Source organism: Homo sapiens, chromosome 11 (genome assembly GCF_000001405.40).
Source record: "Homo sapiens chromosome 11, GRCh38.p14 Primary Assembly".
Classification (NCBI taxonomy): Eukaryota; Metazoa; Chordata; class Mammalia; order Primates; family Hominidae; genus Homo; species Homo sapiens.
This window is the reverse complement of record NC_000011.10, coordinates 2,656,312-2,671,557: the sequence shown is the minus strand read 5'-3', so window position 1 is coordinate 2,671,557 and position 15,246 is coordinate 2,656,312. Positions and strand designations below refer to the sequence as shown.

At 48.6% G+C, this 15,246-nt stretch overlaps 1 protein-coding gene and 1 long non-coding RNA gene across 6 annotated transcripts in view; one reads left to right on the top strand and one right to left on the bottom strand.

Moving 5' to 3' along the window:
• KCNQ1 (potassium voltage-gated channel subfamily Q member 1) overlaps nucleotides 1–15,246 on the bottom strand; it is a 404,098-nt gene that overhangs the window by 177,548 nt on the left and 211,304 nt on the right. For all 5 annotated transcript variants that reach the window (NM_001406837.1, NM_000218.3, NM_001406836.1 and 2 more), the window contains one exon: nucleotides 9,477–9,597. In NM_001406837.1, coding sequence (NP_001393766.1) covers nucleotides 9,477–9,597 — 121 coding nt within the window. The remainder of the gene's footprint in view (nucleotides 1–9,476; nucleotides 9,598–15,246) is intronic.
• KCNQ1OT1 (KCNQ1 opposite strand/antisense transcript 1) overlaps nucleotides 1–15,246 on the top strand; it is a 91,667-nt gene that overhangs the window by 28,437 nt on the left and 47,984 nt on the right. Inside the window, exon 1 of the long non-coding RNA NR_002728.4 lies at nucleotides 1–15,246. This exon is cut by the window's left edge and continues 28,437 nt beyond it; it is cut by the window's right edge and continues 47,984 nt beyond it. This is a non-coding gene — a long non-coding RNA (KCNQ1 opposite strand/antisense transcript 1).

Genomic DNA, 15,246 nt, shown 5'->3' with positions numbered 1-15,246 from the left:
AGGAGATAAGTCAGGCAGAGTCAAAATTAACCTTTGAAAAATCCCTTGAATTGGCCCTAAAAATAATCCCTTTCTCAGATCTTTGTGTATATCCCCTGCTGGGTTGCTCTTCTGCCTGCTAAAGTGGGAGAATCTCTGGGTGCACATCCAGAGTACCCTGGGAGAGGCATGCCAGGTGTTCCTGTACCTTTTTCAGGATATTCCCAGTGTCATCTTCAGAGGGAGCCTCTGAGGCTGCAGCCACACATGGGAAAAGATTACTTATGGAGAAGATCAGAGGCTAAGGGGCTGGGGATGGTGGGGACATCGGATTTTGAGGTCAGACCTGGACTCCTGTCTACCTCTGTCTCTCTACCTTTTATTTTTCTTTCCTTTTCTCCTAACAAGGCCCTATTTCTAAGATGGCACCTCAGGCCTCCCATGGGACCAACCAGGCCTGACAGACTAACTGCTCAGACTAACTGCCAGACTTCCTCCTGCTAGCCAGTCACTACCAAGGATGTGTGCCTCAGATACAGCCCCTGCCCAGGACACCTACGTTGTCCCTAACAGGGCCCACATATCTAAAGCATGAATGCCTAGCCAGGGGCTCTGGGGCACCATAAGAAGGCATGAAGCTGGGCCTGCCAATTTGCATCCTGGGAGGGCAGGTCAGCCTTGTCCAGGCAATCCAGGAGGCTTCCCAGTGGCCCACTGGCCAGTGAGGACCTTTGACCTCCTTGGCTGGTGGCACCAGGTTTATGATGCACATAGAGGCTGAACTTGAAGAATTCTTATTGCAGAGGGCAGCCACAAGAGCCACTGGCCAGTGCCCAGATAATATCTGCAGACTGTTCCCTCCTGCTCCATGGGCCACAGAATCCCTTTGTCTTGTTACTGCTACACTGCCTTCCTACCAATCTTCAGGGTTCATCCTGGCCTCTGCCATGCATATCCAGGCTCCCCCAGAGATTGTGTGTCTGGGAATGAGCCCTGGCTTCTGCTCCTATCTCCCAGTGATACTGGCAAGTCCCTATCCTTCTTGAGGCTTCAATTTCCCCTTCTGTGAGCTGGGAGGACAGGCCCACTAGATGCTCTCTGAGGGACCTACCAAGGATGTGGGCTGTGTGTCTCAGCCAACAGCAGTATCTCCTAACCCCAACACAAGAAATACACATAGTAGGTGTCTGGTTAATGCTCTTGGAATTTCAGCCTATACTAACCATCTGAAAGCCACTGAGTCTGAACTCTGCTACCATATTTGAGATTATCTCTCCATTGGGCACCTATGGGTTGCCTAGAGACAAGCTACCATGGTCCTCTTCCCTCGCCCGTCATGTGCAGGGTCAAAGGCAGGTGAGCTACACAGCTCGCCCTGCTCTTCACTCTGCTTTAATGTGGGTGCTTGCCTTGGCAGATGGGCCCGACAGTGATAAGAACAAATGACAGATGCATACTGGGGCACCTGTGACTGCCATGAGACACAGTCCACTGATTCTGCCTCCAACCCCCTCCCCAGAGCAGAATAGTGAGTGCTAGGTTTCCGCCTGTACCTCCACGGGACCCCAACAGCTCCTGAACCCCATTCCGAGATTTGAGGTTGTGACTTGGGGACCTCTAGACTTCCCTTCCCTCCACCTGACTCCAGACTGTCCTGGAGCTTGGGACTCTCAGGCCTCTAGGCACATCTTATTAAGGACAGCAGCTGACAGCCATATGTTGTGACCCCATTTGTATCCCATGGTAACTCATGACCTGGCAGTCTCAAAAGCTCTCAGGCCAAATAAGGAATGTCCCCACAGGATCTCCCATCACAAAGAGACATTCTATGCTGGCTAATATTTTCAGGCATTTCCCCGAGTCAGGTATGTGGCTGGATGCCTAACACCATCTCCTCAAGGCCTTACACTAATACTGTGAGATATACTCCCAATGTATACAAGAGGAAACTGAGGCTGATAGAGATTAGGTGACTGCCCCAGTGTCCTGTGGGCAGGATGAAATGACCCAAGCTGGCCAGGGCTCCCTGACAGACCTTGTCCCTGGATTCAGCGAACATACATCAAACCATTAGCTGACAAGGAATGAATCTGACAAGCTGTTCATGACCACCACACTGAAAACTACAGGGCAAGGTAAAAGATATGAAAGTCAACCTAAATAAACAAGGGACACATGATGCCATGTTTCAGGAGCCCCAAAACTATAAGGATACCCATTCTCCCATGCCCATCTAGAGGCTGCTGCGCCTAGAGGAGGCTTTCCATGGCAACTGGCATATGTATGGTGAGGAGAAACCCTGCAAAGACAGCAAAGCCAGTGATGGGGAAGGAGAAGCAGCCAGAGCCAGCAGGACCAGCTGTCAAAACCTGTTAGCAAACTACAGTGAGAAGGAAGCAAGGTCCTGGCCACAAAGAACAACTTGAATCTGACCAGTGGCACCCAATAGGGTCCAGAAACAGAGCCACACGTAGCCAGTGAGCTGATTGTAAAGACACTGATACGGCAGGGTAGTTGGGAGAGGACGGGCCTTCCCATGCCGGGTGCTGAGCTAGACTGGATATCCAAGTAGGGGAAGAGTGGACCTTGACCTCGGCCTCACATTGGACACAAAAATCAATCCCAGATGGAGTGCAGATCTACATGGGAAAGGTGAGCTAATAAAGCTTTAGAATAAACCAGAATATCTTTATGACCTTGGAGTAGTCAAAGTTTCTTAAATAGGACACAAACAGCCCTATCCAGAGAGGAAATGTTTGATTAACTGGACCACATGAAAATTAAGACCTTCTGTTCATCAAAAGACACCATCAAGAGAGGAAGAAGGCAGCCTGCAGAGGGGGAGGCGATATTTGCAATGTGTGTGTCTGTGAGAGAGTGTGAGTGTGTGTATCTCTCTCTCTGACAAATGACTCCAGAATATCTAAAGATATATAGGACCATAAATAAACATAAAACAGGCAGAAGATGTAGGCAATTTATACAGAATGATGTATCTGACTAAATGATAACATGGAAAGGGACTCAACTTCATTAGTCAACAGGTTACTGCAAATTAAAATCACCATTTGATGCTGCTAGACATTCACCATCATGGCTGAAAAGGAAACGACGGAAAATGCCAAGTGTTAGGATGTGGAGCAGCCAGAATGCTGCCTGTGGGAATGAAAATTGGAATGACTCCTTTGGTAGACTGCTGGGTAGTATTCACTAAGAGTAAACATATGCCCACCCAGGACCCTGCAGCTCCACACATAGGCATATATTCCCCAGAAACGCAACCTGATGCTCACCAAAAGCATGTACAGAATATTCTTAAACAGCAACCTACACCAGAAACTGCCTGCTGGCCACAGGTGGTAGAATGGATGAATGATGTAGGCCATGCACACAATGGAGCACCAGTCAGCAAGGAGCATGAGGGAGCACTCTCCCTTCAGCCCCATAGAGAGGCTGCCAGACATCAAATTGAGTGAGGGACATTGGACACAAAGGTGTATGAGTTGCATCATTCCCACCGCATAAAGTTCAAATGTGGGCAAAGCTGGTCCTTGCTGCTAGCAGTTAGGCCTGTGGTTAATCTCAAGGTCAGTGACAGGAAATGGGAGCCTGAGAGGCTTTCTGGGGGTTCTGTTGCTTCCTCCGGGTGCTGCACACATGGGTCCCAGGGACTGAAGATGCCTCAAGCTGCGCACTTGAGACCTGTGTACTAATCTGTGTGCATGCACATTACCCTTTAACTAAAAGTTTAACACCACCACCCTATACCAGGGTAGCCCAGGTGAGCCTAATTAGGTGGATAGCCCTGGCCTTCAGGGCCGCTAGGCCCAGCCCCATCCCACTCCCTCACTTAAGGGGACACGGCTTCCAGACTTCCTGACTAGGTCACCTCCGTGCTTCAGCCTCCAGAGGCTCTGCAGTTCAATCTCCCCTTTCAGGTATCAGCAGAGCACACAAGAGATCTATATGGGATGTGCCCCCCGCCCAACCCCGCCCCGACCCCCTGCCCCAACTGCCAGAAGTGTCTCCATGACAATATCAGTGCAGTTGTGAAGTCCTTTGCCCTCCAGCCACCTCTGTGGCGTGAATGTTCTCTCTGTCACATCCTCCAACACCATCTGCTTGGCTGAGGACCTGAGCAGCATCATGGCTGGGAGTTCACAAGTGGAGAGGGCTGAGCCTGGCCAGAGTGCACTGGGGCAGGGTGATTTGGATGGCCTTTCCCTTGCAGAGGAAATGAGAAGCCTCACTGCTTTCTTCTGGGCCATCCACCTAGACAGTGCGGCCCTCTCCCCATAGCAGCAGCCCTAGGCCAGCCGCTTCTTCCTCACGTGCTCAGACGGAGGAAGTGAAGTTTGGAAAGGTTAGGGGGCCACGGGGGGCCGCCACAGCTGGGCTGATGGCAGGCTGGAAGCCAGATTGAGGGCATCTGATTCCCAATCCCATCTCTTTCCCACTGAGCCATTACGCCTCGGTTTTAATTTAATTAGAAGAACATTTAATCCCCCCGTGCATTTCAGAGACGGGTTTGAGCCTGGCTGGGGCTATGTGGGGCTCTGACGGGGATCCTATGACTCATGCAGCCCTGTACAGCCCTCCCGGGCGGGCCCCCAGAGGGCTTCCTTGGCATCTCGTGCAGACAGAGGTGGTCTGGAGCTTTGCAGAAGACAGGACACTGGTCTAGAAAGACAAAATGGTCTCATCTGTTCTTGACAAGCCCCTCACTCATCCTTCTGGACACTGGTTCCCAGAATGTCCTTTCTGTCCTTTCCCACCAAAGTTTACAGGGAGAGAAATATGGTGAGGAGCTTAGACACTCACAGAGCTGCAGTGCCTGGTACCCTGGGGTCTGTGGGAGTAGGTCACAGTGGACCTGGATGTCTCCAAAATGTCCCAGGCCAAGCTGGTCCCATCAAAAGAGCTAGCCCCTTGGTCCATGAAGCCAAATTTGGGGCCACCCTTGTGACGTTTGCCCTTATTTCCAGACAGCACAGACTGGCCCTGTCCTTGCTGACAAATGCAGAATTCAGGAGACATTAGTAGTGATGTGGATGAAAGCCAGGCCACAGCGGCCTTGCTGGAAAAGAGCAACTCGAATGTCTTGGCGTGAGATTCTGCAGGGTCCAGGAGAAAGTTGAAGACATGGAAATTCTAATTAACGCACACGGGGCTGTTTTTGCTCAAGGATTTGCGAAGCTGTCATGTCACAAGAGGCCAGGCAAGCACATGCTTGCCAGGGAGGTGCTCACAGTCACCTGGTGGGGGTCTCTGCAGCTTTCCCTCTGCCTTCTTTCCACCCCCTCTGCCCAGCCTCGGGGGTCCTGGTCCTCCCCCATGCCCATCTCAATGGGCCGGGTGCTCCCTGAGTGTCCCTCTGGAGAGTGGGACTGAGGGCGGTATCTGTTAACCTCGAGCTGGGGCTTGCCCATCTAAGATGCCAAAACAGAAGAGACAGGGGCCCTTCAGAGAAACCACATGACTGGGCTGGGCAGAGCCATAGGCTGCAGGGCTTATGGGCCTGTCCTCTTGGGCCGTCTATCTCAGGTATCCATGTGCAACCAATGGGGCAGACGTGTGAATTCCAGGCCAGTCCTGGCTGGCTTGGCAGTTGGGGATGCAGTGTGAGGGAGGATTTCACAAAAATGATTTCAGCCTCCCAGGGTTGCTTGGAGAAGCTCACCCAGGCCACACCTGCACACAGCCCCCAAGTTCAGAGCCGCAGATCCTCAGGCCCCTAGCCCTGTGCCTCAGCACTGGCACAATGTGTCTGCAGTCCTTGCTTCATCTTAGGCAGGGTTGAGTGAGCAGCAATCCTAGGGCTTCTCCATGCCTGGGGCTTTGGGGGTTCTGGGGAGGAAGAGACCAAGAGGGCTATACATGCCCTTCTCCCTCCTGGCACCATTCGAAAGGCTTAGGGAACTGGTACTGAGGGCTTTGAGAGCCAAAGGAGGACACAGCCGTACAGCCTAAGTGTGTCCTGGGGGGTTTACTGAGCAGACGTTGGAAAGATGAATGGAAATCTGGTGGCTGCAGATGGGTGACAAGGGCATTCTAGATGGCAGGTTACCACACGCAAGGCACAGGGATGCACACAGGCATGGCACCGTCCCCACCCACTGTCGTGCCAGTGACCCTTGGTGAGCAGAGGATAGTGAGTGGGTCAGAATCCCAGGAACTCATCCTGGCTCTTGGGGTACAGGGCTCCTCTTGTCATGGGGGTGCTCCCCAACTGCCCATGCAGGCCTACAGTCTCTACTTCCCACCTTTCTCTCAGAAGCCCTGTCATATGGTTCTGGGTGGGAGACACAGGCTCAGGGAGTTTGAGGCTGGCAGGGACTCTCTTGTGCCCCATTCAACCTAGGAAGACAGCTTCTGCCTGAAAGGTGTGTTCGAGGCTGAGTCCTGGCCGCCCAGAGCTGGTTGAGGGTCCTGAGGCTGAGCAGTAGGGCCCACCTATAGGCTGGGGTGCAGCGACGCCACTCTTTATCTCCTGGGTACCCCGTGCCTCAGCTTGTCATGACTCCCTAGCTTGCATCAGGCCTGCTCACCCCCCACCCCACCTCTGGCTAACAGGCCCCGGAAAGAGGAGCTTCGCCCAGCCCCAGGGACCTTCCCGTAATCAAGGCTATAGTGACCTCACCTCTCTGGGGCCCTGCGGGCGGGGAGAGCTCGAGATGGAAACAAAATGTGTCTTTATTTATGTTTTTAATTTGAATTCTGGAACTGGCCCAGCATGGTAATACATTTAACATCAGTAGAATGCTGAAGAAAAATGGAAATGTTTTTTGGTAACTGCCTCCCACCCACTCTGCCCCCTGTGAGACCCCAGCACACATCCCTGTCCCTCACACACACCAGGGCGTGTGCCTCTCTTCCCAGTTCAGGGTCCATGGGGCCAGGCTGCCCACAGGAGCTTCGCTGCATCCCTGAGCAGCTGGAGCCGAATTTAATTATGGGCATCACTGGGCGGGCTGTGCAGGAGGTGGAGGAATGCAGCCCCAATGCGGGCAGAAGACCTGCACGGCCCCCACACCCCTGCCGCCAGGCGGTTTGGGCCCTGAGGAAACAGGGTGCCCACTGCTGCCAGCCTTCTCCCCCAGATGGAGTGGGGCCTCTACCCAGCCTGTATCCCAGAGGAGCCTGGGTTCCTAGGCCCTGACACTGTACGTGCCCACTCTCCCCTTCAGGCCTCTCTGGAGGGACCGTACCCTGACTTCTGAGGATGCAGGAACCCAGCTCCCCTGAAGCCTCAGCCCTGAGTCTTCCCTGACCAGAACACAATGCCTCAAGGTGGCCCCTTTGCAGCAACCTCCTTGTTTTTCCCTCTCCCAGTCCCCTCTTCAGATCCCTCACCCCAAGCCCCATGCCTGGGCTCCTTCCTGCCTTCCCAGGCTGGCTCATATCTAGCAGCCACTTTTGGAACAGCCTGCTCTGAGAGAGGCCTTGGTAAGTTACAGGGCAGGGACCTGGTTGGGTAATGACTGGAGTCTCTGACCTGCCTGGGCCCACTTATCACTGGAGGCCATGGGAGTGCCAACCTGAAAAGGCTGCAGGATCTTGCAGAATGGTAATGTGCCAGACCCAAAGTGGGCAGAGAGCTTGGGGATGGATGTTCAGGTCTCTCAGGCCCTGTCATCCTGGAGTGGAACAAGAAACAGCCCAGTGTCCTAGATGACACAGCCACACTGGCTTGGGGTCACCCTTGGGCAGGTGGGTAACCTCTGGCTCCAGGGAGCTTGGCATGTGCTGATACCAGCACTGGCAGCCCTCACCCCCATAGTGGTGATTTACTGGGCAGCTGCAAGTTTGGCTGTGATCCACATAAGTGCCTGGTCTCTCACCACCTTCACCTGCAGGGGCCTTGCAAGACCCAAGAGTTGGTAAGGCCTGGCTGCCCAGCTAGATGGACTGTGGGTGATGGCCCTCTCCTCCCAGTAGGACTTTTTGCATGTCTGGATGCTGGTCCGTGACCAAGAGAACCAAGGTGAGCGAGAGCTCCAACAGGAGAAGCAAGCAGCCAGAAGGATGAGAAGGGACAGTCCCCTCTCTGAGGGGACAGCCAAGAGGCAATACAGGCACTGCCACCTGTATTGCACACAACATGAGCCACTAAACTAACACTGATCACTTTGGAGGTCCATCATATCCAGGACTTGGTACAGGCCTTGGCCACAGTGTAAGCCATCATTCTGCCTTCTGGTGCTGACCTGTACCTGGGCAGCCCATCTGGCTACCAGCCTGCTCACACCTCTGCTCCTGCCTTTTTACCCAGCCAGGAGGGGCCCAGAAGCTCAGAGCCCTATTCTCAGGGTGTCCATGACTAGTCACCCCTGCTTTCCAGTGATCTGCTGGCTCCCTTGGAGCCTCTTCACACCCTACCCACCATGAGGTACTGCCAACCTCTCTGTGAACTGGGGGGGCCTGGAAAGACAGTGGGCAGGTCCTGTCTGATCATAATTACCCCTTAAGATAGCCACTCCTTCCCTGGAGGTGGCCTCATTCTGGCTACCCAACCCTGCCAGTTCTCTGGTTACACCTGCAGCCCCCAGCACCATGGGTCCCGATTTCCTCAGTGATTTGCAAGGCCAGGCCTTGCACCTGGCTGGCTGCAAAGGCAGGAGGCCCAGGGCCTCACTACGACAAAGACACACATGGCTCAGGACAACCTCCTGACCCCCAGAGAGTCCAAAGAACAAAACACCCTTTAGAAAAATGTTGGTAGAGAGAAGGAGAGTTTCCACAAGTGACCCTCAGAAGGGCCGCGAGTGTCACTCACAGATCTTGACACAAAGACATTTATCAAGGGGAATCCCCAACGGGTTAGCAGCCAGAATGGGACTGTGGCCAGAATGGACTTGGGTGCCCCACTGACCCCGCTGCACGGCTGTCACCGCTGGGCACCCCAGCGGGGAGTCACATGTCGCAGGGGAATCACACCGTGGCCGGGCACCGGGGATTGGCCTGGCCATGCCGTGACGGCGGGGGAGGACGGGCATGCATCCCAGGCCAGCTGTGCCTCAGGGGAAGGCCAACTGGAAGGCGTGGAAAATCAGCCATTTCCTCCACCTGAAGGAGCCCCTGAGGACAGCAGCAGCAACTGGCAGACTGCACCCGGCATCTGCCCCATGGCTTTGGCCAGGGTTCCATGGGGAAATGCTAAAAAACAAAGTCGTCTCTTTTTTGGGGGGCAGGGGAGGGGGCTGGGGGAGAGAAAAACAATCTCAGACTCTCAAAGCATGAAAACAAGTGGAAAATGATCAGTCTGGTTTTCCATAAGTCAAAACAAGAGGATCATGTTCCCAGGCTCAGTGGGAAGTGCCCTTGCTCTCCTCTCTTGCCTGGTGCCTCCGTGTTGGGGCCAGGCAGACGGCAAGTGGTGGGCACTAGGCGAGTAGATAGCACTCTGGCCAGAGAGCAAGGCTTCCCCAGCACCAAGTCTGACTCCTTGAGCTCCAGTCCCCTCCAGCCCAGCCCTTCACGCACATGTAGGCACTCACTGTGAGATGTGGGTGATGGGTGTCAGCAGAGTCTCCCCTTCCAGGTCCAGGTCCTCGGCGAAGCTGTTGGTTCTCATGAAATGGGGCATGCTCACTTCCAGCAGTGTTGGGCTCTTCCTTACTGAGGAGAAAGTGTGGGGACAGCACGTTAGGCCTCCCACCCAACCTGCCAGTGCTGTGGAGCCAGGCCTGTGAGCTCCCAGGGCCAGGTGAGGAGTGGAGCTTGTGCCTGGAAGCTCCAGCCCTGACAATCAGTTTTATAGTTGGGTGTTGGGGTGGGTGGGTGTTTAAGATGGCCCCAAAGTGCCTGACACCTCAGTGTCTGAGGAGAATAAAGGCCAGTGAATCATCTTCGGAGTGGTAACTGTGCCTGGGGCTGTGCTCAGGTGTCCAAGACTCTCCCCACCTCAGGTTCTGGGCCTCTTCCCATGTTCACAACTGACACTTGGGTCAAGAATAAAACAGAGGTGACAGGCACAGGCCTGGTAAGGGACAACAGCTCCCACCACCATACATTGTCACACTCATACATTGACAGAGTAGTGGGTCAGGAAAGATGGGGTGATAGGACCTCTGACCCATGAGGAATGGCAAGCCTGGGAGGTGGGGGCAGCCACAGAACTCCTTCCTCAAAACACGATGCTACATCAACCAGTTGTACCCCCAATGAGGCACAGGAGTCCCTCCAACAGCTGGCTTCACATTATGATTCCTGGGCCCACCTCTGCAACTTTGACACAGGAGCTCAGGATACTGATCCTTATCACTCCCCACTCTCTGTTGACACTATCAGTATTTGCTCTTGGCTTATATTTGTCTTCATTTAAATATTTTATTGCAAAAGGATTAAGTACTCATCTGTGAGAAGTGGAATAATTCAAAGATTCACAATGGCTTTCCTCCCCCAAGGTCATCAGTGTTAACTGCCAACTAGATCCCTAGCCCACCCTCTCTGCTCATCCGAGCAGCAGATGCCAGGTGGGAGTTGCTTTTATGCACATGGGATGTCACTGTGACTCTGTTCCTGTCACTCTGTAACATAAGCTCATTTCATTTTTCTCTAGGTATATAGGCATGGATTTAATTATTTTAGTCATTACATAATAGTCCACAGTTTAGATTGGCCACAGCTAACCATTCTGTATATCATGGACATTCAGGCTCTTATAGTTTTAAGCTGCTTAATTATTCAGACTATGATGCCATATTCATCTTTATTCTTAAAAGCTGACATACTGGAGCAGGGTGAGAGGGTGTGTCCTTAGTAATTTTAATAAATGTTGCTAGATTGCTTTCCCAAGAAGTTGTAGCAATTCAGGCTCCCCCAGCTTTCCCACATCCATGCCTGAATGAAGTGTTGAATGAAGCCCGAATGAAGGTTGTCAGCACCTTTTGCAGGGACTATCAAGCATGGATGAAAACTGAGGCATTGCTGTTATTTCCATCTGTGTTGAATACCTTTTATGGGCTTGGCATCTGTTTGGGTTTCCTCTTGCAGAATTGCCTGTTCATGTCCTTTGCTCACTTTTGCTTATCACTTTGTAGGAATTTTCTATACATTACAGACATTAACTCCTTGTTATATGAGGCATAGATAGCTTCCCCAGTCTGTTTTTTCACCTGAATTATGTTGCTTTTATCCTAGAAAATGTTTTATGTTTTTAAAGTGATACATCTTTTGCTTTATAAAAAAGGAAGGTTTTCCCACATCAGCGTAATACAATTCTCTCTTAAATTTATTCCTAATTTCACTATTTGAATGTGTTGTATGTATACATATGTATGTGTGTAAAAGTTTTAATGCATTTAGTATCTATGCCTGATAGGACAGATGATCAACAATTAGAAAATGAAAATTTAAAGGGTACTACATACAAACTTACTGAAAAAAAATCTAAAATAAAACATAAAACCATAAAATATCTTGAAGAAAACATAAGAGAAAATCTCCAGGACCTTGGATTTGGCAGTGAATTCTGAAATACGAAACCAAAAGTTTAACTCGTAAGAGAAAAAGAATCAACAAATTGGACTTTATCAAAATTAAAAGCTTTTGCTGTGCAACAGACACTGCTAATGGAATGAAAAGACAAAGCACAGACTTGGAAAGAATATTTGCATATCACCTATCAGGTCAAGGACTTGCACTCAGAATATATAAAGAATGCTTACAACTTGACAATAAAGTGAACAATCCAATTTTAAAAATGGATTATAAATAAGCACATGAAAAGATACATAATTAACATAAATATGGAAATGCAAATTAGAATCACAATGAAATTCCATAAATTAAAAAAAAAATTCAAAACCTGACAATACCAACCACTCTTGAGGATGTGGAACATGTAGAACTCTCATATGTTACTGGTGGGAATGCAAAATGGCACAGTGACTTTAGGAAATAGTTTAGCAATTTCTTATTAAGTTAAACATACACATACCACATGACCTATCGGTTCCTTTCCCACCCAAGTGAATTGAATTTTTATGTTCGCAAAAACCTGTACATAAATGTGTATAGTAACTCTGCTCATAATTACCAAATACTGGAAACAATGAAGATGTCCTTCAACAGGTGAATGCATAAACAAAATGTATATATTCATGCAATGGAATACCACCCAGCAATAAAAAGAAATTAACTAATGATTTATGCAACAACATGGATGAATCTCAAATGCATTTTGCTAAGCAGTGAAAGAAGCCAGATGCAAAAGAATACATATTATAGGATCCCATTTATAGGACATTCTAGAAAAACAAAACTACAGGGACATAAAACAGATCAATAGCTGCCAGTGGTTAGGGGAGAAGTACTTGACTTCAAAAGACTCACCCCAGGGTATTTTTAGGGGTATGGAACTTCTGTGAATGATACTGGATTGTGGACACATGACTCCAGACATCTGTCAAAACCCACAGAACTGAATCTCAAAGAGTGGATTTTACTGTATGCAAATTTAAAAAATTAACCCGGATGTTGGAGGACCCTACGATGAAAAGCAGACTATGATGAGCGTGTTACAAACAAATGACATAGCAGTGAAAGGAAAGGAGGAGGAGGAGCTGGCATATGTTGCTTTCAAAAACACTGTTTTGACTGGACACTCTATGGTTAAAGCAAAAGTCTGTCCTAAACACTCTAATCTAGTAGGTAAATTTGCTTCACATAGGGTACTACGTGTACAATAGGGTTACACAAATAAGTAAATGAACTGTAGGTAATGGGAGCCAGGTTTCTAGCTGTCAGAGAAAAAGCTATAAATAAGTTGTGGGGGAGGGGGCAAGGATGAACTCTGGTCAGAAATGTCAGTATGAACTCATGGTTAGCTTTATATAGATACAGATATGTAAAGATGTATGTGTACTCAGGTTACATACATACATATATTTCCTAGCTCTGTCCACTGAGAGGAGACTGAAGCAATGATACCCTAGTAGCCACGAGCATACCCCGTGCCTAGATCCAGGTTTTCTATTCATTCTCCAGGGAGCCAGGGCTCTCTGGATGAATGGATGATTCTAGGGCTAGGGTAGGGAAAATAAAAGATGAGCCTGAAGTATTGTCAAGTGCTAGAAAAGAAATGCTTAAAAATAAATGAAAAGGATGGCGGGGGGCACATCAAAAGGACACATGAACCCACCAGTGGCCACAGCTTGAACAATTTGAGCAACAAAATAAATAATATTGGACTATAACTCAAAAAATAAATACTCCCAAATCCACACTGATAAAATTAAATAAACAATTGGAGGAGAGGGACAAATCTTCCTTATAAAGGAATTCCAAATAAAAAATGTAGAAGGAATGAGGAAAATAGAAGTACATCACGGTAATATTTGCTGCAGGAAAACGATCCATGAATGAATGCTGAAATTAGTTAGTGAAACTCAGAAACTTCACAGTTTCTTCCTTGAAATGTATTTTAATTGCTGTGGTAGTTTTAACATATTTGCAGATTTTTTTTGATACTCTCCTGCAGGAGGTAGAGTTGAACCCCTCCCTTCCCCACCTTGAGTGTGGGCTATACTTAGTGACTCGCTTCTAAAGACTAAGCTATGGAAAGGGAAAAACAGCTATTCACTTACAGTGGAGGAGCCTGGCCGACACCACTTTAAACGAGTGGCTCAAGGTTAATATTACCAGTGATAAACCATGTTGATGTCATGTTCCACAATGAGGAAAGCATCTCACCTCACTGGCCTCCTTCCCCTAAACCTATAACCCTGGTCTAGTCCTGAGAAAACACCAGACAAATCCAAACTGAGGGACAATGACACCTGACTGGTATTCTTCAAAAGTGTCAAGTTAATGAAGAACAAGACTGAGAAGCCCGTCACCGATCAGAGATGACAATAAATGTAATGATCGATCCTAGATGGGATCTTGGAACAGAAAAAGGACATTAGTAGTTAAACTGGGGAAATCCAAATAAATTTATAACTCTAGCTTAATAGTGTACCAATGTTAATTTTTTAGTTTTGGTCAATGTACCATGGTTATATAAGATGCTAACATTAGGGGAAGCTGGTGAAAGGGATGTGGGTACTCGGTACTATTTTTGTTTCTCTTCTGTAAATAAAAAATGTGAGGTAACAAGAGAAAACAGAACCTGTATACAATAGCACAAAAGAATATTAATTATCTAACTAAGTATATGCAAGAACTCTGGAGAAAATTGTAAAACTTTAGTAAGAGACAATGAAGAAGATATAAATGGAGAAATATGCCTTCATTCCAATGACTAGAAGACTCAATACTGAAAAGATTATCTCAAAATCTGAATAAATCTCTCCAAATCTTAATAAAAATCTCAAGGCTTCTGTGTGAGAACTTTGGCAAGCTGATTCTAACTGCGACTTGGAAGTGCAAAAAGCCAAGAATTGGCAATATTCTTGAAGAAGAACAAGGTGGGAGAACTTGCTGTACCAAACATCAGTACTTCTTCCAAGGCAGTGGTCATTAGGGCAATGTGGTATTGACACAGGGAGAGACAAATAGGCCAATGGGACAGGATTGAGCATTGGGAAACAGCCCACACAAATATGGAAGCTTGCTGTGTATCAGAGGTGGCCTGCACATCCTGGGAAGAGCATGGACTTTTCAATCAAATGTTCAGGAGCAGTTGGATACCCACACTGGAAAAACATTAAGTTGGACCCTTAATTACCTCACATCATATACCAAAAATTCATTCTTGTCATTCTAGGGGATTGAAGACCTAACTATGAAAAGCATAACTATAAAGGTCACATGACTGAATATAGAAGAATATCTTAATGACATCAGCATTAGGATGGTTTTTTTTAAAAGAAGCAATAACCATGAGAGAGAAGACTGAGTAATTTGACATTAGAGTTAAGACCCAATCATCAAAATACACCTTAAAGAGTGAAAAGACAGTGCCCACAAAATGCAAAGGACTCCTACAAATCAATAGGAAAAATATAAATGACTTAATAGAAAATGGGCAATAGACAAAGTAGCACATCACAAAAGAGGAATCCAAAAGGCTGATGAGCATGTGGAAAGGTGTTGCGCCTGACTAGCAATCAGGGAAATGTAAATAAACTCAGGAGCTCATGGCCCGTGGGGGCGAGTGGCAGACTTCCAGCAGGAAACCACACAGACATTACTTAGTCACAGCCAGGAGAAGGGCTCAGAGTGAAAGGGCTCTGTGCCCATGACATCCTTAGAGAGACCAGGGAAGGACCTGTAAGGCTTGAAGAATGTGCAGATTTGGAGACCCACAGGTCTGGGACCTGG